Genomic DNA, 20,837 nt, shown 5'->3' with positions numbered 1-20,837 from the left:
GACTCAAACACCCACCCTCCTCCTGCCCTGCTGGAGCATCCCAGAGGGACCCGGCACCCAGGCTACGGCGAGCCATGCCCTTGCCCGGCCGGCTCCCCGCAATGCAGCCCTGCTGCGGGGACTCCCTTCCTCATGAGGCCAACACCAGCTTCTCCCAGCCTTCCAGGGCAGTGGAGCCGCTCCATCTAAAACTTCCCAAAGCTCAGAGATGCTGTGAACCCATAGCAGCTGAAGGTGGCCTGGCTGATACGCAGAGGCTGAGCTGGCCTGGACAATGAGCTTCCTACGTACTCCAGAGAAGGACAGGGTGGAGCCGACCCTGGCCTGTGTCCAGAGCCAACATTCCCAACAGCTACAACCATCTGCACCCTCGGAATGAGCAGGACAGTCGAGAGACGCAGGGGCCCTTCCTGGAGAAGCCACTTCAACTGCCCTACTGACGGATTTCCTCAGCAGGAACCTCCCCTCCTGAGCTCACACCCGGCCCTGGTTCCATCTGCAAGAGCAGTCTAAAACAGAACTTTAAACAGACCAGACGATCCCATCAGAAAACGAGAGGGCAACTGTGTTTTTAATTTAAATTCAGTTTAGTGGTTTCTCTCGTTGCCAGGATGAGGATGTGGGGCTTTCTGCTGCACCAACCTGTCACTGCACATCAGCACGTGTTGTAAGCAACGGCTCCCGCCTGAGAAGCCGGAAGTGGAGGAAGAAAATTATGTGGACATTTGTTCTCCACTTTTGAAAACATGGAATGTGCTTGTGTGTGTATGAATATGCAAATTATCTTATTCAACTATAAAGAATAAAATTATCAACGTGGTCTGGCTTCATCCCTGCAGTATTCACAGCTTCACGTGCTCTCGAGCACAGCACCTATTCATTTATGGCTCACCTGCTGTATACCAGACGCCGGCTGGTGCTGGCAGAGGGTCAGAGACCCACCCTGACCTCATGGGACAAGAGGAGGACATGGGCAGACAAACTGGCATTGCCCAGAAGTGTGGCTGTGGCAGCCGAGCTTAAGGGCAGAACAGGTACCCCTCCGGCCTGCTGACCCCACAGCTCACAGTGATGATGAAGGCAGGAGGGGCTGCCTGTAGGGGCGGCCGCATGAGGCCAGGGCTGGTCCTGCATCCCCTTGGCTCCTGGCCCTCGCAGGCTGGTGGCTGCCCTTACCCATGGCGCCGTGGCACCAACTCAGCACAGTAACTTGGCTAGGGCAGGAGCTGGGGCACCTCTGCGGACTGCATTCGGGGGGAGGCTCTGCCAAGGTGCCCAGGCCTCTCTGGGCAGAAGAAAAAGCAAGGAGGCTGCTCAGGTCTGGGCTTTGAAAAGCAGAAGCTGGGAGCCACGGTTCTGGCCAGTCTTGGCCCAAGCGAGGCCCTACACTGTGGGCGAAGTGTTTCTCCGCCAACGCGTGGACACACACCGAAAGCTCTGAAGGGAAAATTATTTCAAAATTAGCCTCCTCCCGAGAAGGCACGGGCAATGCAAATGCCTTCCCGGTCACTGCCCTTAGTTGGTTTTCTCTGTAATTTAAAACATGTTTTCCAATTAAGCCCTGATTCTATAGGAAGCCAAGTTAGAGTCAAAGACCTCTAAAGCCGATTTTGATTGAAGCACTTAAGTTTCCGGCAAACTGTACAAATCAAGACCCCATTATCAAGGCTGAATGCCTCCGCGGTTTCCAGGGATTGGAGTAAGTGCAAAAGAATTCCAATTGGTAAGTGTACAAAAGGAAAAAAATATCACAAAACAGGCCTTGTGGGGGCATGCCCCTCACCTGGCGCACCCTGGGCAGAGGCCCAGCAAGGCACCAGGAACCCCCAAAACCAGGGAGCTCACGGCAGGCTTTGCGGAGAGCCAGGCCCACTCTGCCTGAACCCCCTTGAGGGCTGGGCTAGGGTCCCTGTGCCCAGCTACACTGGTGCCCACTCTCCCTGCAATGCCAGTTTCCCATCAGTGCAGCCCACTGTCTTCACACACTCTGCTCGGAGCCGGCGAGGCCACCCCTCTGGGATGAGAGTGCTGGGGCCCGGCGTCTGCATGGAACTGACCTGGGCTGGGAGCCACTCTGTGAGCCCAATCCCCGCAGGACAGTCTCCCGTGGGCAGCACAGAACCACAGGCGTGACGGCCCCAGGAGGAACATCACTCCGAGGACACCCCTGCTGCCCTTCCAAGTTCAGCCCCGGAGCCTCCAGGCTGGGCCAGCGCAACACCTGGAGGCAGGGGTGACCTGTGCCCTTGGGGCACAAGAGCCTCACACACACCACGGCTGTGGCATTAAAGACCACCCCAGCTCCCGCCGTCTGCGGCACCCACCCCATCCCTGCCTCCGACCCCAGGAATGCTGGCGGGAGGGGAAGGCCCCGGAGGGGAGCTCCCTCCTGCCCTGCTGCTAACTGACCCCCGAAGCGTCCACTCTCTGCAGATGGAGGACCCCAGCAAAGCCAGCAAATGCGTCTTGCCCTCCTCTGCGTCCCCAGCCCGTGGGCTCCCTGAGTATCAGCAGCGATGTGAGTGCAGTGGCCCCGGCGGCCCCAGAAATAAACATCCACCTCTTCCCTTCAGCAGCACAGCTGTCGGCTCACACAAAAACCCACAGCCGGATGCAGACACGGGCCACGCAGAGCCTCTGCTCCGTGCCACACCCCATAAGCCCCGTCCCGGTGACCGTGCACAGGTGGGTCCTGCTCCACCGACTGGGAACCGGTTCCCACCAGCGCCGAAGCCCAGGCCGCAGATGGCCCCTGGTGAAGAGCATACCTGGGGCTTTCTCCACGAAAATGACCTTGGAGTCCTGCAGGAAGTTGTGGCCAGACAGGACCATCTTCTTCCCGCCCACGACCGGATAGCTGTCCGTGCTCTGCTTCTCCACCAGAGGCAGCTCCTGAGCTGAGCGCTGGGCTGCATCAGAAGGAGAGGGGCAGTGAGGGCCTGTCCTGAGTGGGCGGCCTGGGGCACACGTGTGGCACCCAGCAGGTCACACGTGAGCCGACCCACCCAGAGCAAGCACCGCCACGACCTGCGGGCCGACCCCTGCGGATGCCACTACTTCTAGGGGAGAAGCCGTGCACACTTCATCCTGATGGTCTCCACCTCGTTCTGAAGAAGTCATCAAAATATCTTCCTAAGACTCAGCCAATTTCACTCAAATCACAGTCATCGCACAAATACGCAAAGGTCAGCGCAGCGTGAGGGGAAGCCCCGGCCCACACCGCTTTCCCTGGCCATGCTCAGCCATCAGAGGAGCCAGCGCCAGGGGCCCCCGGGAGGCCACAGGCAATAACTCAGCCATGATCAACTCAGACCCCTCGTGGCCACACACTGTGGTGGGTTTGGTGGGAACCGTTCAGTCCCAAGTCTACACGAACGAAAAGCTGAGAGCGGGTGAGACAGTGAAGCGCATGTGACGGGACGGTTTCCTCCCCTGTGGGCGCGTGGACGTCCACTTACAGCATTCGATGGGGTTGGAGGCCACCTGCAGGGACAGCGTGCGGCCGCTGGGTTGCGGGACGTGAACGCGGAACACCAGCCGTACCCGTGTGTTCTTCCTCCCGATGTCCGTCTCTCCTTTCCGAAGTTCAATGTCGGAGTTTCTGAGTTTCAGGATTCCGGCACAGTCAATGCTGCCCAAAACAAAAGCCCACAGCTTTTCTTTCAATGGCTGACGCGGGAGCGTAAAGGCCTGGCCCCCCAGACCCTCTGGCCCTCATCCCAGCCCCACGAGCTCGTGCCAGGCAGCTGGCCACTCTCCCCTTCCCCAAGGAAAACAAGACCTTGAAGCCAGCGACGTGAGGCCCTTGCCTAGTGCAGGAGAGAATCTGACATTGGCGCAGGCGAGGGGGCAAGCAGAGGCAGCCCCGAGAAAAGCCACTTCCACCTTCCCCTTCCCACCTTCCTCCAGCCTCCAGCCTCCACCCTCCACCCCTGACCAAGCGGGTCCAGTCGGAGCTGTCCCAAGTCCTGGCTGCCTCCAGGGCCCACGCTGGCCACGTATACGGGGATGTCACCAGAGCGGCAGAGAGCGGCCCAGGGGAGGGGCCAGAGGCACCTGCTGTTCTCACTTATCTTGGAGTAGTTCCCAAAAAGCTCAATTTATTATTATCATTTACAATAATTATATATTATATATTATTAGGTTAAATATTATATATTTATAATTATATAAAATATATAATAAATCATAATTAGAATAAATTATTCTATTATTTCCACTATATTTAAAAGCCCTCATTTTTTGTGTGTAAAACCCATTTTTTCTATGGTTTCATATAACCTCTTAACAATTTCATTCAAAACTAGACTCCAGTAAAACATTCCATGTATACATTCTCAATGCACTAAAAAGCAGTATTTTTCAGTAAGTTAAGAGAATGAGAATAAACACAGACTCCCCGACCACCCACGAGGCGGCAGCCAGCACAGGGCTGGAGCGCGGTCCTGGCTGCGGGCGTCTCCCGGCCACCCTTTCTGCCCCACATCATGGTGGGGTGAACGCAGCCGCCAGCGAAGCCAGGACGTTTACTACGGCTGTGGAACGCACCTGACTGTGCCCTGTCTGCGGGAAACTTGGATTACAGCTCTCGAGGCAAACTCAGGGATTTGGAATGAATTCCCAGGTGCGTACATTCCTCCCAGTGCTTGAAAAGTCAACGTGGAGAGAAAGCTTTCCCTTTTTGACTTACAGGCTTTGAATCACTTATTAAAATCCCCAACGTGGCCCCCCGCCGCCATCTCCTACACGCTCTCCCTCACCGTGCGGGACTCCTCCCCACTCCTGCAGCCCCAGGACCTCTGCACCCACCCCCGGGGCTCCACCTGGATGGGGCACCCCACACACAGCTTCCCCATCACACGGGCTCCCAGCCTGCGGGTCACCCTCGCAGGACGCCGTCCCTGCCCTCCGGCCTGGCTCCATCCTGCTGGTCTGCACGTTCCAGCCGTCCCAGCTCAACCTGCACTCATTCACCCACAGATGTGTCTGTTTTCGGTTCCCCCCACAGTACCACATCAATCTCTCGGGAACCAGCAGTCCTCCTCCTCGGCTGCCTTCACAGGTTAGGGCCAGCGTGCCCAGCACAAGCTAGGATTAAGTGAGTAAGGCCTTATTTGGAAGTTACATGTTTCGTCCTCACCTTACTAAAAAATTCACTTTTAAACAAATTACAGTGTCAAATTAGACTCAGAACATCAGCACAGGCCTATCCGTGTTGTCGGAACCTCCTAAAGGTCAACGTGATCCAGATGTGCTGACTGCTTTAATTTTTTGATGCTCACGTTTTAACCATCCTCTCATTACACTGCTGTATTCGGAAAGAAATAGGGGTCCTGTTTAGAAGCTAAATGCAGAGGGAGGTATTTATAGCTGCATATCTGACATTTTAAGTGGCAATATACACAGGGCTGAAACCCTAGAGAGAAGCAAATCCATTGTCAAAAGCAAGAGTGAAGTTTACTTATTGGCTGTTAAACCAAAAGTGTCCTGGCCACGCAGCCTGGAAGTGCGGGGGGCTGGCCAGACCCCCCGGGACTGGGAGGGAGGCACGCCCCCTCCTACCGCCCCCTGCCAGAGGCCGGAGGTCCCCCGCGGCTTACACGGCTCGCATGCTGTTCTCCGGCAGGAGTGGGATCTCCAGGACTTTGGTGTTGGAGAGGATGGCCTCGTGGCTGGTGGTGGACACGGTCTTCCCTGTGATGCGGTGCACCTGGTAGAAGGCGTGCGGGCGCAGCAGGCGGTCGTCCGCCGTCCCAATGAAAAGCTGCAGCATCAGCGGCTCATTCTCCAAGTAGCCATGCAGCTGGCGAGAGAACAGAAAACACCTGCTCAGCACCCAGAGCACAGACCGCCGGGAGTCACCGGAACGCAGAGAAAACCTGCGGCGGGTTCGAGGCCTGTGTCCCCCTGCCCTGCCCCCTTTTTATTTCTCTGCCATGTCATACTGGTGTCTTTGTAAATCAGATTAGAAAATGCCTTGTTATCCCAATGGACCTGGGCACTGAGTTTTAGGCTTTGAAACGGGCCTTGCACGTATGCATCCACACTTGCTGTGTGTGCCCATTCTGAGGCCACAGTGAAGCTGGCAGGGGGCGTGTGCAGGAAAGCGGAGCCCTCGCTGAGCCATGTGCAAGGCTCGCTTCACCAATAAATCCAGATGAGGCCCCGCAGGACATGACCCACCTTCCTGTGTTCCATTAACCTGGAACCGGGCAGCGCGCAGCTCCCACTCCTGATCAGGGGACGCCACACTGCGTTTGCACACACACAGCACGACGGGCCCCAGGCCCCAGCACCCTTCCTGATGGCTCCCTGCCCCTCTCCTCCTGCAGAGGCAGGGGAGCGCTCAACGCCGTCCTGGTGGCTGAGCAGCTAGTGTCCAGAGGCAGACGCTGGCGGCAGACACTGCCTAGGGCAACCATGCATGGAGGTGTCTATAGTCCGCACCACCCTGCAGAGCCGCTCATGGCTTCTCGGCCGGCGCCGTGTGGGTGAGACTCAAAACCCACACCACTGGGACAGGACTCCAGACAAATGGAGCAGCCCCGGTGCTTCCGCCAGGACACTAGTGGCCGGGCCCCACTCACGCCTCTGGGAAGGTGTGCGCCTCACGGCAGGGCACACACATGTTCAGGACCAGCTGTTCTGTGGGATGAGTTGCTCATCAGCGTCTTGAGAGGTAAACACAGAGTGTGGTGCCGTTCCCTCTCACCCTCCTTCTCTGCACCACGCGTGGTTCCGCCTTCAGCAGTGAGTCATTTTTAGAACTGTTTGTTTTTATCTTTAACGCTACCATTTACAATCACTATAGTCTGATTCCATATGCAAGAGGCAAGTTTGGTTTGGAACAGGAACGTTTGATTCTCAAAGCAAGCACAAAGGCCTTGAGGGAGGCCGCAGGAGTCAAACCCTTTGCGCAGTGGGGCCTCCCACAGGGCCCCTCGTTCAGAGTGCCTTCCCTTCTGCATCCCCCAAGTGGGGCCCGATGAGCGCCAGCCTCAGAGCCCTGAGATTCATCAGCAAAATCCATGCAAGGCCCGTGGCAACGCCCAGCCCCGGGAACCACTCATCCTGGGACGCGTCGACCCCTCTGATCACGTTTGGAGTCGATTTTCTCACTAAACTAACTTTAAAATCTTTGACCACAGACGGCAACTGCAGCACGATGACCACGTGCAGAGTCCAGGCCTGGGCTCCTGCAGGCACGTTCCAGCCACAGGAAAATGCGACGCCTGCCCCTGACCACGCAGATGCCTGCTGCCCACTCAGGGCCAGCGAGGCGAGGGAGAAGGCGGGGGAGCCCGGGCCAGGGGACGGCGGATTCTCAGATGTCAGTGGGCAGAGGGAAGATGGGGCTAGAGGGGCCCGGGCAGGCGAAGAGGCGGCCCTTGCTCCGTGGCTCCAGCTTAGCCTCAGCCGCCGTGTGGTCACCACAGTAAAGAACAAACCAATCTCACCGGTGGCTGAACTCAGAGCCCCGCCAGGGAGGAGGCCACAGTGAAGCGACGGCTGAACTCAGAGCCCTCCAGGGACGAGGCCACAGTGAAGCGACGGCTGCTGTCACTGAGGGCCTGACCGTGAGGCCCAGACTGATGGGCAGGGACTGGGACGCCGCGTGAGGCTGAGCCGGGACCCAGGTCCCAGCTGAGACATCGAAGGGGCGTTTGGGGTCTGAAACACAAAGCCAGAGGCTGAACGAAGGCATCACGTGGGAACACGGTGGGGAAGCCACAGACAGGGATGAGGACACAGCCCCCATGTGCGCAGATGCCCACAGGAGTCTCTGCACCCAAGGCCACCAGCAGCCCACTCCAAAGTGATTACTGCTAAGACCACGTAACTCTGCAGAACAAAAAGCCCTTCCCTTTCCAATAGAGCCCCCCTTCCCATATGAATACATGAGTGTCTCCACACAAACAGTCAGGACGGGGGACGCTGGGACCTGCCTGTCCAGCCCTCAGCTCCTCGGAAGAGAGACTCCAGCCGTTTGCCAAGTTAATGAACTTCCCGAGATACCTTAACTCTCTGTGGGACTCAAACATCTTTATGATGGGAAATGTAAAAAGAAAAGCAGATTAAGAGGCGGATTCTGCCACGCAGTATTCCATTTTCCGAGATTTAATACCTAAAAATTTAATTTACATAGAAAAAAATGTAAATGAGTCGCTGACCAAAACCACCTCGGGGGGTGGGGGAGGGGCACCGGGGCAGCTCCAGGGTCACGTGGTCTTAAAACTACAATTTAAAATTCCCCCAGGATCCCTGTGGCAGTTCTCTGATGGTGTGTGGAATGCTGTGAATTTGGGGTATGACTGTATCCTTTAAAAAACATGCCATTTCAGTGAAAATGGGAATATTTAAGGTTTCACCTGGGAGGTAAACATCTATTATTTAAAACATGAAGTTCATTTTAAGAAAAGTCATTTAAATACGTCACGGGCCCCACTGCATGGGCTTTCTGCCTCTGGCACAGTACAGAACCTGTCAGAATCCTATTTATAAAATTCCCTGTCACAACAATGACCTCCCTCTGCCTCAACCTTAACTAAACAAAATGTATTATTCTTATTCCACTGCCGAGGTATAAGAGCTACTGAGTCTCCTACACGTTACAATGTTTGTTTTTAGCTCCTGTGCTGACCTCAGCACTTACACGGTGACATGGTGGGTAGTGGATGATTGAGGCCAAATTTATTCAACGTGGAACTCAGCTGCGTGCACCCAGGGGAGGGAGGTGTGGGGTGGACAGAGGCAGCTCACGGGTGGGAATGTCTCACCCTCCACCCCATAGTCTGAGCTGCTGCACAGAAACGGAGCCAAGGCGACCTGGAGTCAGGCTTCTCTCCAGGCAGGGCACAGGAGCAGCCGTCAGCCTAAAGGGAAATTATCCATTTAGGGCCTACGAGTAAAATCTGCATTTTTCAAATTGCCCCAAGGAAGTACACAGGGACAGAAAATCCGGCTCACAAACCGGTTTCAACCCCGATTCCCCCCATGCTGGATTAATTTGAGAGATTGCCACGCTGTGTGAACAGCGTCTAGGGTCCTCTTCTCAGCCCTGGAATCCTCATCACCCACAACAGCAGCCAGAGGTGACACTTCCAGGTGAAGGCCGTGGTGCGTCTCTCAGGGCTGGGCCCGGGGCCAGGGAACCAGGCAGGAGAGTGCATCTGTCATGGGAGGACGTCCAGCCACATTCTCCACCAAAGCACGAGAAGGAAGGCATCAGAGACCCCGTGGCTCCACCCTCGGTACAGGGGCCTGGCCAGGATGATACGGCAGCCACTGCTGCAGAGCCAGGTGTTCCTGCAGGAACGAGGCCCACCTTACCCACAGCCCAGGCCCACGTGACCCACGGCACACCAAAGCAGATGAGTCAACAGCACACGGTACTTGTAAGAAAAATCCAATTTGATGCTCCAGGGAGACTTTACTCAAGATACCAGGAAAAATCGAAACAAAAGTAAAAGACATCAAAAATGGAGCCAGTAGTCGAAGGGAGCACCCCAAACCCGAAACGGGTGGAGGACCAGGACACACCCCCGCATCCTCCCTCTCCTTCCCCCTTTTCTCAGCCAGGCCTCACCTGCCCGAAGTGGGACAGGCTGCCGGTGTGATTTCTGTGCTTGCCGGGGCTTCGGGCTCTGGGGTCCACGGTGACATTCCAGGTGAAGCCACCAAGAGACAGCCACGCAGCGTCCACTTCCTCACCTGCTGGCTGTGTGGTGTGCAGAAGCCTCCGTGAGTGTGGGCGTGTGCACCAGAAGTGTGCGTGTGCAGGCATGTGTGTGGCCACGGGGGTGCCTGTGTGTGCAGCGCCGGTGTGGTCTGTGGGGTCGGGCACGTGTGTGCCCACGGGGGTGCCTGTGTGTGCAGTGCCGGTGTGGTCTGCGGGGTCGGGCACGTGGGTGCCCACAGGGGTGCCTGTGTGTGCGGCGCTGGTGTGGTCTGCCAGGTTGTACGTGAGCAGTGCTTCCCTGTAAACCGGCCCAGACCTGGCTTTAAGGGGCAGCTTCATCTGCCGGACGCCCTGCCCTGGCCCCTTCAGATGCGGGAAAGGGCCTGAGGGGCCTGGGGTCTCCCTCCAGAGCAGCGAGGGCTCGGGGTAGGCGGGGGAAGCTGGGGTCTCCCTCCAGAGCAGCGTGGGCTCGGGGTGGGTGGGGGAAGGACACAGCCTGACGCCGCACACCTCTTGTCCTGGTTCCCAGTGTGCAGTGCAGAGAAGGAACGGGAGGAACGGGGACGCCATGGCTGGAGACTCAGGCCTGAGCCAGGAGTCGGGGCAAAGCCTGGTGTTCTGTGAACACACGTGGGCACACACACACGCACAGCCACACTGGGAAATGTGCACACCCCCCCAGAGCGTGCACACACACACGCACACACACACACCACATGTGACAAGCCTCTGACCCACTGGCACCAGCTCACTGCTCTCTGGGAAGTTCTAGAAAAAAGTTTTTTTCTCATTTCAGGTTTTATTTCTACCTGTTTGGCCACAGTTGCCAGCCTCCTGACAGACCCAGAGTGCATGAGAGAGGCCTCCAGGAACCCTACAGCCAACACTCCCTCAACCCTCCAAGGGAACAGATCTCGGCCTTGCAGGAGCAGGGCCAGGCCCTCCTGACCCCCAAATCCCACAAACCTGGCACTGTTGGCATCATGAGCCCTGGCAGGCAGGGACACCAGGTACCAGGACCCACAGCAGCTTTCGCCATGTGGCACAGCCCTTCCCAGAGAGGGTGGGCGGACCAGCACCTCGGGGCTGGGGTCTCTGGGCAGCCTGGGGAAGGGGCCTTGTGCCTGGAGGTGCCGGGACACCCGCCCAGGGCTAGGGGGACAGGACCAGGATCGATCGTACCTGCCCTCCCACAGATGCCGTCGGCAGAAGGATTCAAGGGAAGCGTCCATGTGCCCGGCAGGAACCGAGGCAGAGGCTGGGCAGACGGGACCCCACGGGCTTGCTGCATGCTGAGGCCTGAACGGCGGAGGTTACATAGCAAGCCTGCTGAGTGGATTCTCAGACCGGTGAATGCACGGGCGCCGACTGGGAAACTAGCTCCTCCCCACCCCCCGAGGGACGGCTCCAGGCCCCTTCCCATGACAGGAACAGGACGACGTGTCCATGCAGTTTCCTGCACGAGAGGCCCTGGGTGAGTAGTGGGCGCTGCCCTCACTACCATGCCTGGTGAAGGAAGCTGTCTGCAGAATCCGTGTGACTGACCGATTCGTCTTCCTAGCTCTCAGGGCGGTGTGTGTGGGGGCCCGAGGCAAGTGTGTGTGACAGTGCGTGCAGGTGTGTGTCCATACGCGCGGTGCACAAGCTGACAATACTGAGTTCACACCACGGAGTGTCAGCTCAATTCTGAGAATCCTTCCCGTGAACACAGTTGCTTTCCTAGTGATTCATAGATCGTGTTCAGATCCACAGATAAAACTGAATTTGTGGCTGTAAAGCAAATCTAGAGGGACTCGCCGCCCCGCACAGGGACCTTCCAGCCGCGACTGAAAAACTGCACTCAGCCACAGGCTCAGTCCTGACCGGGAAGGGCTGTTTCAACATAAGTCTCTTGGGATTTTTGGTTTTCAAAAGGGGGCAGGCGGAGCTGCAGGACTGCCAGGCTCCAGCTGAGCGTGCCTCACTTGCTACAAGGGAAGCTCTGGTGTGTCCCCTTCCAAACACAGCTGCTGCTGTCCGGGTGGGAGTGGGGAGCTGTCCGGGTGGGAGTGGGGAGCTGTCTGGGTGGGAGTGGGGAGAAACTCGGGTTTCTTGATGCTCAGAGCTGAGCTCCGGGCTGGGGCCCCAGACCTCCCCCAGACACCAACCAGATGACCTGCAGGCTACAGCAAGGCGTGGCCCGCCGGAGCAGAAGCTCCCCAGGAGGGACCCAGCGTGAGCACGTGGCGCCAACAACCGCACACTGCTGCCACCACCCGCCGCCGCCACCGCACGTCTGTGAACCAACATTGTATCCCCACTCCAGAGAAGCAGCGCTGAGCTGCCAGGGCCTGTTTCCCGGACCCCGGCTCCAAGGTGTCTGGGCTTTCTTCCCAGGTCCCTACTTTTCTAGCCCCTTCCGCCGACTTTGGAGAAAGATCATTCAAACCGGAAGCCCAGAGAAGGTGCTGGAAGGATGTTGAGTGGCAACCCCAGAACAGGCACGCGGCAGGAGCCCCTCTTCTTGGAGACATGGCGCCCGTGAATGGCACGTGCGCTGTCACCTGCACGAAGGCAGCAGAGGCTGCTCAGCAGGACCGACGCCTCGGCGAGGGTGGACAGAGGTGGGGAGGAGAAAGGCCGCCCGGCCACACCTGTGGGCCCCTCACACGTGCCAGTCTCCACACGTGCACGCGGGTCTCCACGTCTCTCCGGAAGAGCAGCCCCAGAGGCCGTGCTTGCCGTGGAGAACTGGTGCCCTCCCCCACCGCCTCGGCCCGCTGCCCTCCCGGCTGCTCTCCCAACCTGTGCCATGCAGGGACCACCTTGCCCCACCAGCGCGCTTCCCACCTCGACCTGGAGGCAATGGCGCTCGGCACGAACCCCAGACTCACCAGAGCACCGACAGGGCCACGGAGCCAGGGCACTGACGTGGAGGGTGCAGGGGCCCCAACGCACCTGGAAGCGCCCAGAGAAGAGACGGCCACGCTCACTTTGGCTGAAGAAGATTCTGCCCGGAAACACCACGTTTAGATTTAATTAAATCTAATCAATTAATCCATGCTGAGAAACCTCGACCTTCTATGGAGAGAGAATCATCTAGAATGCAACTCCTGAAACAGGCAAGTGGGAAACGCCGCAACCCCGTGACCCCAGGGCCAGAAGCACACAGAATCCACAGCCCACGGCCACGAAGGGAGAAACGGCAACCTTCTAGAGACATCCGTGCCACTGAGAGTCGCGTCGCCTGACACCAAGCGGCAGGAGCGCTTGTCATTTGTCAGAAGTGAGGTGGTTTCCGCTCAGCACTTCTCCCCAGTCTACCCCAGCAGGGCCTGACGGGCTCAGGTCACAGCCCACCCACAGCCGGGATGCCCTGGCTGATCTCAGGGAGACACATCAAGGAGCTGGCAGGGTGGCCTGAGGACCGGCAAGCAGCCCCTGTTCATCCTGCCTCCCCCACAAGCCCTCCCAGCTCCAGAATGGCCCCTAAGCCTGCTGGTCAGTGGCTCAAACACATCAAAACCGAAATCACGGGGGAGAGAGGCCCAGGAGCGCTGCCCGCCCAGCAGCCATGTGCACCTCCAGAGCCCGACAGCTACAGCGATACCCAGTCCAGACACACAGGGGTGAAGGGCCCGAGGAATCCTGGGGTGGAAGAGCCACCATCCAGCAGCACCCCTGCCCCTCCTTCAGGGCCCGCACCCTGCAGCGCCACAGCCCTGCACTCCCCAATCTCCGGGTGAAACCTTCTATTTCCCTAGGACATGGCCTCAGGGAGCCTCGCAGGGTGAGACCTGGTCAGTCTATGTGCTCCAAGTGTGTATGATGGTGCGTCTCGGCTCCGCAGGGCCCAGGGGCCATCTGTGCTGTTCCCAGCAAAGCGCCTCTGTCCACAGACAAGGCCCGGTGTCCTGCCTGGAGGAGGGAGGTGTGGCTTGAGGCAGGTCCACGGACACGAGCCCAGCCCAGACGGGCACACGCCCATGGGTGCTCCCAGCCGCCACTCCCACGTCTGGCCTGGGCAGGGCCTGGGCAAGGAACAGCCACCAACGTCACAGACAAAGAAAGCAAGCAGCCGTCCCGCCCAGCAGCTCCTCAGAGAAGAGGAGTGTCTCTGAAACCACATCTCGTTCCTCTTAGAACCGGCACTGACACAGAGACCCTGCACTCCGGAGCTGTTCAGACACAGCAGGGCACAAACCTGGGAGGCTTCAGAAATGGCTGCCACCCTCAGCACTGGACAGTGCAGACAGTGGCCGCTCCTTCCCGGGAGAACCCAGCTGGGTCACAGCCCCAGGTCCTCGGAGAAACGGGCAGGGACCTGCCATGGCCAACACCACCCTCGGTCACTGGACACCTGCTGGGTGTGGCCCAGGGGCACCACGGTGTCTGCGGGGAAGCAGGGCCCATTGCTCAGGCAGCGAGGAAGGACCAGGCCCCACATGAGAGCTGCCAGGGCGCCGCCTCCCCACGGGGTGATTGCTGCTGCAGATGGCCGCTTCTCATGTGGTCTCCAGGTGACGTGTCCACTCCTCCTGTCCCACCTGCACCAAATGTGGGTTTTCTGAGGCTGGGATAGAGCATGTTCCAGTGGGCGTGCAGACCCCTCTCTACCTAGGAAAGCCTCCTGGGAGGCCCTTCTGCGCTATTAGGAGAGGTCACTAGCAACGGCCGTGCCAGAGCCCACGCGTCATCTTAAATTTTCCCAAAGCACCAAGAAGCCAAAGCTCTGAAATTACTAATAGAAGATTTTGGAGGCTGAGGATCTGGGCTTGGGGACACTCATGCGCCTCGTATTTCCTGTCTCAGCTGCACACCCCCACTCCAATGGCCAGGCCTGTCAGGAGACCCAGGCCACATTTTTGCCAGTTTTTCCAGGCAGTGGAGCTGTGGAACAGGTAGTTAGAAATCAGTGTCGCAGACCTGCCAGAGGCCACACGCCTTCCCCGTGCCAGTAAATCTCCACAAAATTCCACCCATTTTCTCAAATATTGTCATTACTGTTTTTAAGCAGTGACTGGCTGGGCCGACCTCATTCCACGTTGGTCTCCTGACACAGCGAATCTGCCCCGTGAACACCTTCCCAGCAGCACCGAGCATCTGTCCCCATCGCTCAAAACAGAGCCCGTGGGCTTTGCTTTAGGGGAGAAATAAATGGTGAATCCTCGTTCATCATAAAAGCTGACACGGGGAAGGCTCGGGCTTCAACACTGCACTTCTGAGAGTTCTTGCTCCTGGGAAAACAGACACAGCCCGACGGCAACCATGTGTGCTCTCCCAGCTGCATGGGCTGCGGGAACAACGGCGTATGTGGAACTAGGAAATTCCCTGTGCGTTTATGCGCTTAGCAGTCCAGGGAAGTGACGGTCATTCGCCCTGAAATTGTGCTGAAAGAGGAGAGGGCTGTTGTCTAGGTTCCAAGGCAGACTCATAAAAAATTAATCCGTGCCTCCTGCAGGCCTCCGGCATTTGGCAGCAGCGGTGCCGTGGCGTGTGGTTTTGTGGTCAGACCTGCACTTTAGTTTCCACCCCACGGCGTCCTCCCCGTGCGTGGGCCTCTGCGTGGCTCCTGGGGCGGGGCCGGAGCGGCTGCTGTTTGAGGTTCTGCAATAGCACAGCTCCTGGTGGGGCCTCGGAGCTCTGATCAGATAACAATGTGTCCCAGCGACGTCCCTCCCCGGCTTTCCAGTTTAACAGCCCTGCCTGGCAGGGGACATGGAGAACCAGGAGCTCCTGTGTGTGGCAAACCACTTAAGAAAGCGTGGATGAGGCCCTGCGTGGAACAGTGCGTGCTGTGGTAATCTGTCCACGGTATTCACGGGCTCTCAGGAACCTGCTCCTCACGGTACTGAACACTCCCCGAGCCCCTGCCAGCTGAAGGTACCACACAAAGTGAGAATTAGTCAGAACCACTGGCCCGACGCGCATTTTAACAACCGGAAAAGAAGAGCTGCCTCACGGGAGGCTCCACTCCTTGGTCTTCAGCTGTCAAGTTTCTTACATGACAGAAAAAACGTCTGTTACGGATCTGTGGAGGCAAAGTTGACCTACAAGCTGGGCAATGGAAGGAGAGGCCCACCAAGGCCACTGTGGGCACCAGCGGGCCCGCCCCACCCTGCGTCCTGAGCTTGGGGTATGGCCAGGAGCCCTCCCTGGGGCCAGTCTGGCCTCCTGACTCTGAGTCTTCGCCTGACCCGCCCGCCCCTCTCACCCGCGCGGCTGAGGCAGGATCCCAGACCACCCGCCCTCACCTCTTTGCAGACTCAGTTGGCCCTTCTCCTAACTGACAATATTATAAGCTGCAAACCTAAAATGCTGTTTCAGAACGGGCCGAGGCTTCTCGTTTCACATTCCAGTGACCTATTAATTATTCACACGAGCCCGGCCTCCCGTGTGATGGGTGAGATGCTATCGGGCAGGTTATTTTGGTGACTTGGTAAACAGACCTGAGTTATTTGACCCCTGGGTCAGAGGTCAGGCTATATCCCACAGAGGTCCACGTGCCCCCGTGGGATGGTGGGTGCCATGGAGGTGGAGGCCGAGGGCCGGGGACGTGCTGCAAAGACATCTTCTCAAGGCCCTGGGCCCTTCCCGGCCACCTCCGGGAGAGTGTAGCTGCCACGAGCAGTGGAGGACGCAGGCCAAGGACGGGTTGACTCATGTGAGGAACACATCTGGCGAGGGGGCTGCAGTCCACGGCAAAGAGAGCAGGAGGGAAGGAAGGAGGCACAACCAGAAACAGAGAGGAGGAAAGCAAGGCAGAGTGACCAGGGCGGGCACTGCTCACGCCGCTCAGCTCCTCCTCGGACGGAGCGGGGAGCCGGACTCCAGGTCTCCTCCGGGACCACAGTCCCCCAGATGGAGAACACGCAGGTGGAGGACCAGCCTCCACCTTCACGCCCAGAAAGGCAATGAGTTGCACGAAAAGGCCTCAATGGCTGTGCCCGGGTGCTTCTCCACCCTCCCTGGCCAGAGAAGGGGAAGAACACTGCCTGTCTCACCCCAGACCATCCTGATGCCGGCTGCCTACATACCGAGGTGAGCAGCGCTGAGGGCAGAGGCTGTGTGCGGATGAGGAGGTGAGACAAGGAGAAAAGCCAGCAGCCACCCAGAGCACTCGCGAACTCCTGGTTCCAGCTCCGTTGAGAGCAGAGCAGGCCCTCCAGGGTGAGGAGACTGTGTGTACAGAGAGACCCTCCCCCTCAGGCAGAGCCTGCCGTCAGGGCAGAGGGTGGAGGGCAGAGGGTGGCGGCTGCCCGAGGTGCCACCATCAGGACACTCAGTGTGAGCTGGGATTTGGGGGAAAGCTGAGGCCAGAGGGAAACATCCGCCACGCATCACTTTCATGCCTCACTGGAAATGCTGGTGAGAAGCAGACAGCAGGCGGACGCCCCCTCAGCCTCCCCTGCAACCAGCGGCCTGGCGAGGTCCCGGCATCGGCAGATCCAGACCGGCCCACCGAGAACTGGTGGCCAAGGTGCTGGAGCAGGGGCAGGAGGAGCCGGTGACAAGGGGGCTGTGTGGGCAGGAGCTGAGGCTGGCTGCGCTGCTGGTCACTCCCTGCCTGGCCAGAAGCCTCTGGGAGGCTCTGTCTGAGTCACTTGTTCTACCAGGGCAAGGTGAGTCCTAAGCAGGCGTCTTCATCTTTGGTTTCCCAGGAGCAGTGAGGCCCACGCCAGACCCCTCTCTCCACTATCCCCTCACACGCACAGGGGGCGGGACTGTCCTTACCCGCAGGCCCCACCCTGCAGAGGGGGCGCACCCATCACCATGGCCGAGGTCCCGCCAGACCCCGCAGGGACCACGTCCACCAGGGGCTGCCGGCCATCCTGAACCACCCAGACCCCCTCGCAGACGGCTCCAGGGCCCCGCTCTTCCAGGCTAAACCACGGCCCTGTTGCTTTGATGCTGGTGTTTTTAGCGCCGTGGCAGCCGTAATGGGGGTGGCCTCAGGGTGCGGACGGTGTGATCATGGCAATGTGGCCAGAAGAATAGGGGCTGGCCTGGGGTGGTCTCTCCCCGGCGTGGGAACAATGACATCCCCACAGAGACGGCAGGGGGCACGCTCAGTGCTCACTGGAGGGGGCTGGCCTCCTTCCCTCTGAAGGAAAGGCCCTAAATGGGAGAAGCCCCGGATGCCGGACCCCCTCACGCCCCTCAGCGCCCACAGGTACCCGGATGCCGGACCCCCTCACGCCCCTCAGCACCCACAAGTAAGAGCGAGCACCTATCCAGAGGAGCAAACACCCTTTCCTAACCCAGAGTCCATGCTCCGAATGCTTCCTGGAGAGAAGGTGCTGCGTTCTGCTCACGTGCTTCACTTCCCAACTGCGAAACACATGGGGATGGGGAGGACGGAGACAGCGGGCGTGGGAGGACGCGGACGCCGGGTGCGGGAGGACGGGGATACCGGGCGCGGGGGCACAGCGTGCCCCTGGCCGCGAGAGCTGACACCCACATCCCCCGGCCCCCCGCCACCCTCCAGGGCTCAGCTGCACTGCAGGAGACAGCGGGCTTTAATTTTCTGGACAAGCTTTTTGAGATGCAGCGGACAGACGATTCACAACGAAGAGAACAGCATTTCTCAAATGCAGGAAACTCCCGCGCCAGTTGTTCCCAACGGCTCCCAGTGGCTCTGACCAGCCGCCCGCAGCGCCCACTACCCACGGCCTCGTCCTCGCGCCCCCAGGCCAGTGCGATGAGCCTCGTTTCTGAAAAGCGGGAAAGGGGCCGCGTCAAAGGATGTACTAAAATAACCCGACGGCACCGAGGGCACGTCTGCGGTTACGAGGAGCTTCCACGGCAACTGAGAGCTTTCTATTCTCGTTTGTTTTTAAATTATGCACAAATTCTATTTTTATCCAATTTGTGGTCCACCAACTGAAAGAGAAAACTAACCCCCAAAACCCCCTCTTTTTAGCTGCTTTTACCTCACACTTGCAGAGACAGAAATCCACTCTGCCACAGATACATCACAAAACTCTTTAAATTACTAATTTCTACAAATGAGATATGCTGACAGCTCCTGACATTCTCCGTGCAGGGGACCGTTTTCTCCCGCGTTTCAATGGAAAGGGCTCCTTCTGTGGAAACGCAGAGCCAGCCTCTCCCGTGTCGCTGCTGCGCACACACGGGCCACTTGATTTGGAATAATTGTTGAGGGTACATTTTAAAGATATTTTTAATTACTGTTTCAAGTTTCCTGAGTCCTCCAGAACACCTGGATCCTCTCAGTGGCATCTGTATTGATAGATTTCTGCACCCTCAGCCCAAGACACCCAGATGGCAGAACCAGAGACGGGATTCCAGAAGATTCCAGAAGACGCAGGGAGAGTACCCAAGCACTGAGCTGTGTCCGCAGAGACGGGCGGCACCAGGCACCGGCGCTACTCACAGGCAGGTGAAAATACATCCATTAAAACCCAGGGCTGCCTGTAGTCCCAGCTACTCGGGAGGCTGAGGCAGGAGAATCACTTGAACCCAGGAGACAGAGGTTGCAGTGAGCTGAGATCACACCACTGCACTCCAGCCCGGGTGAGAGCGAGACTCCGTCTCAAAAAAAAAAAAAAAACAAACAAACCAAAAAACAAAACAAACAGAAACCTCAGAGCTCTCTCCACACTCATGGTCCTGCTTTACCCTCCAAGTAACAGCCTCGATTCCTACACCCGCCCCTCATCCAGATACAGTGAAAAGGGCGACGTCAGTGCCCCTCACCGACATAATTTACAGCAAATAGGGTGGACTGGGCCATTATTTCTCTATTGCTTTATTTCCACTCCTCCTTTCACAGCCTCGTTTCTTGTCCTATCTAATATCCTTCCCACTGAGCAATAACAAGCTTTCGGTCAGTAAAAACCGAGGCAGGGATGGGGAGGTGCAGGCCTGCAGTGACGGAGCGTGGTGCAGCGCTGTCTGACCTTTCCCACCTGGGAGGGTGGAGACTTTAAATGTCAAACGGGCCACTGTGCGCTCAGGTGTCTCCCGCATTTCCTTGCTTCAAGCACCAACGAGGGAGGTACTAATTGGCATCAAGCACACAGGCCACAAACATCACATTAACATCATCTGCAAGTGCTGGCGAAAACGCCTCACCCCAGCGCCCTGCCCGCTAATTCCCTGCCGCCGGCTGCTGCGTTGGCAAACAGCCATTTGTCCCTGCGGCCACCTTCTCTCCACTATTTATCTAAATGGAAGAAAATAAAAATACGAGGCACTCTGCTGAACACCCCTTCCGGCTTGCATCATTCCCTAAATAACGGGGCTGGGGCACCCGGTTTTTTGCTGTTGGGGTGTGCTCGGAAAACATCCTCTGTGCTGCCGCGTAGCCTGGAGCCCTGGGGCTGGACACACTTGCTGCTCTGTGGCTGCCAAAGCAGCAGATCTAGGGCCTGGGGCCTATAGCTGACGAGGTAACAGGTGGAACGAAGAAAATGCCAACACCCACGGCTACCCGGGATCCACATCAACACCTGGGGTGCAGAGGGAGCATGGCTCTGTGCAGACGCTGCCCGTCCCTGGCGCGGTCATTACACCCCTCCCTCGACAGCCTAACTCCACGTGGCTTTCCCGCAAGGTGTGAGGAAGGTGAGGAAGCCACACCACAGCCCGGGGGAGTCAGGCCCACCCCAGCAGGGACGCGGCTGCAGGGTTGCCAGGCCCAGGCCTACCCCGGCAGGGATGTGGCTGCCAGGCCCAGGCCCGCTCTGGAAGCCACTCCTCCTCTCCTCGGGGAGCACCTTGAGCCCTGGTGCCCCCCAGCACCCAAGCCCAGAGTATGGGATCCTGCAAGCCTGGGTGGGCCACAGAACCTGCATTTCTGAGGGTCCCCCACCAGGCGAGGCTGGTGCTGCTGGTGAGAACTCCTGCCTCCAAGTTCAGAGGCTTTAGAGAGGGGAGAATCAACCCCCAAAACATCCACACCACAGGCAGCATCCACGGATACGAGAGCTGCTTCGGGCAAATCTGAAAACAACGAGAGAGGGCCTGCACGTGTGGAAGCAGGAGGAGCTGTGGCATGCTCCCATTCCAGCTCAGAGGCGGTGAGCAGCCGCCCGGGACTAACCACGACAGAGCATTCAGCTGGCCTGGCTGGGAGAGTCTAAGCACAGTTAGCTGTGGCTCCAAAGTTACTTTTTGACCACAAAAGCACCAAGTGACGTGCGAGTCTGGCCGC

The 20,837-nt window shown here is 58.2% G+C and overlaps 1 protein-coding gene and 1 long non-coding RNA gene across 13 annotated transcripts in view, besides 1 other annotated feature; both read right to left on the bottom strand.

The window, feature by feature from the left end:
• Nucleotides 1-20,837, bottom strand: part of NFATC1 (nuclear factor of activated T cells 1) — a 133,394-nt gene that overhangs the window by 74,739 nt on the left and 37,818 nt on the right. For all 12 annotated transcript variants that reach the window (NM_001278669.2, NM_006162.5, NM_001278670.2 and 9 more), the window contains 3 exons: nt 5,601-5,803; nt 3,459-3,631; nt 2,769-2,909 (listed from right to left, as the gene is read on the bottom strand). In NM_001278669.2, coding sequence (NP_001265598.1) covers nt 2,769-2,909; nt 3,459-3,631; nt 5,601-5,803 — 517 coding nt within the window. The remainder of the gene's footprint in view (nt 1-2,768; nt 2,910-3,458; nt 3,632-5,600; nt 5,804-20,837) is intronic.
• LOC124904334 (uncharacterized) lies at nt 8,103-20,837 on the bottom strand. The gene is made up of 2 exons (XR_007066426.1): nt 9,587-20,837; nt 8,103-9,306 (listed from the first exon to the last, which is right to left on the bottom strand). It is a non-coding gene; the product is annotated as an uncharacterized LOC124904334 (long non-coding RNA).
• Nucleotides 10,314-11,160: an enhancer, noted in NCBI's record as "H3K4me1 hESC enhancer chr18:77203425-77204271 (GRCh37/hg19 assembly coordinates)". NCBI's record gives its function as "activates a minimal SCP1, AML or CMV promoter by ChIP-STARR-seq in primed H9 embryonic stem cells {active_cell/tissue: H9 hESC(primed)}" and the evidence as "EXISTENCE:reporter gene assay evidence [ECO:0000049][PMID:30033119]".

Source organism: Homo sapiens, chromosome 18 (genome assembly GCF_000001405.40).
Source record: "Homo sapiens chromosome 18, GRCh38.p14 Primary Assembly".
NCBI lineage: Eukaryota > Metazoa > Chordata > Mammalia > Primates > Hominidae > Homo > Homo sapiens.
Note: the sequence above shows the minus strand (reverse complement) of the source record. Positions and strands in the feature narration are given on the sequence as shown.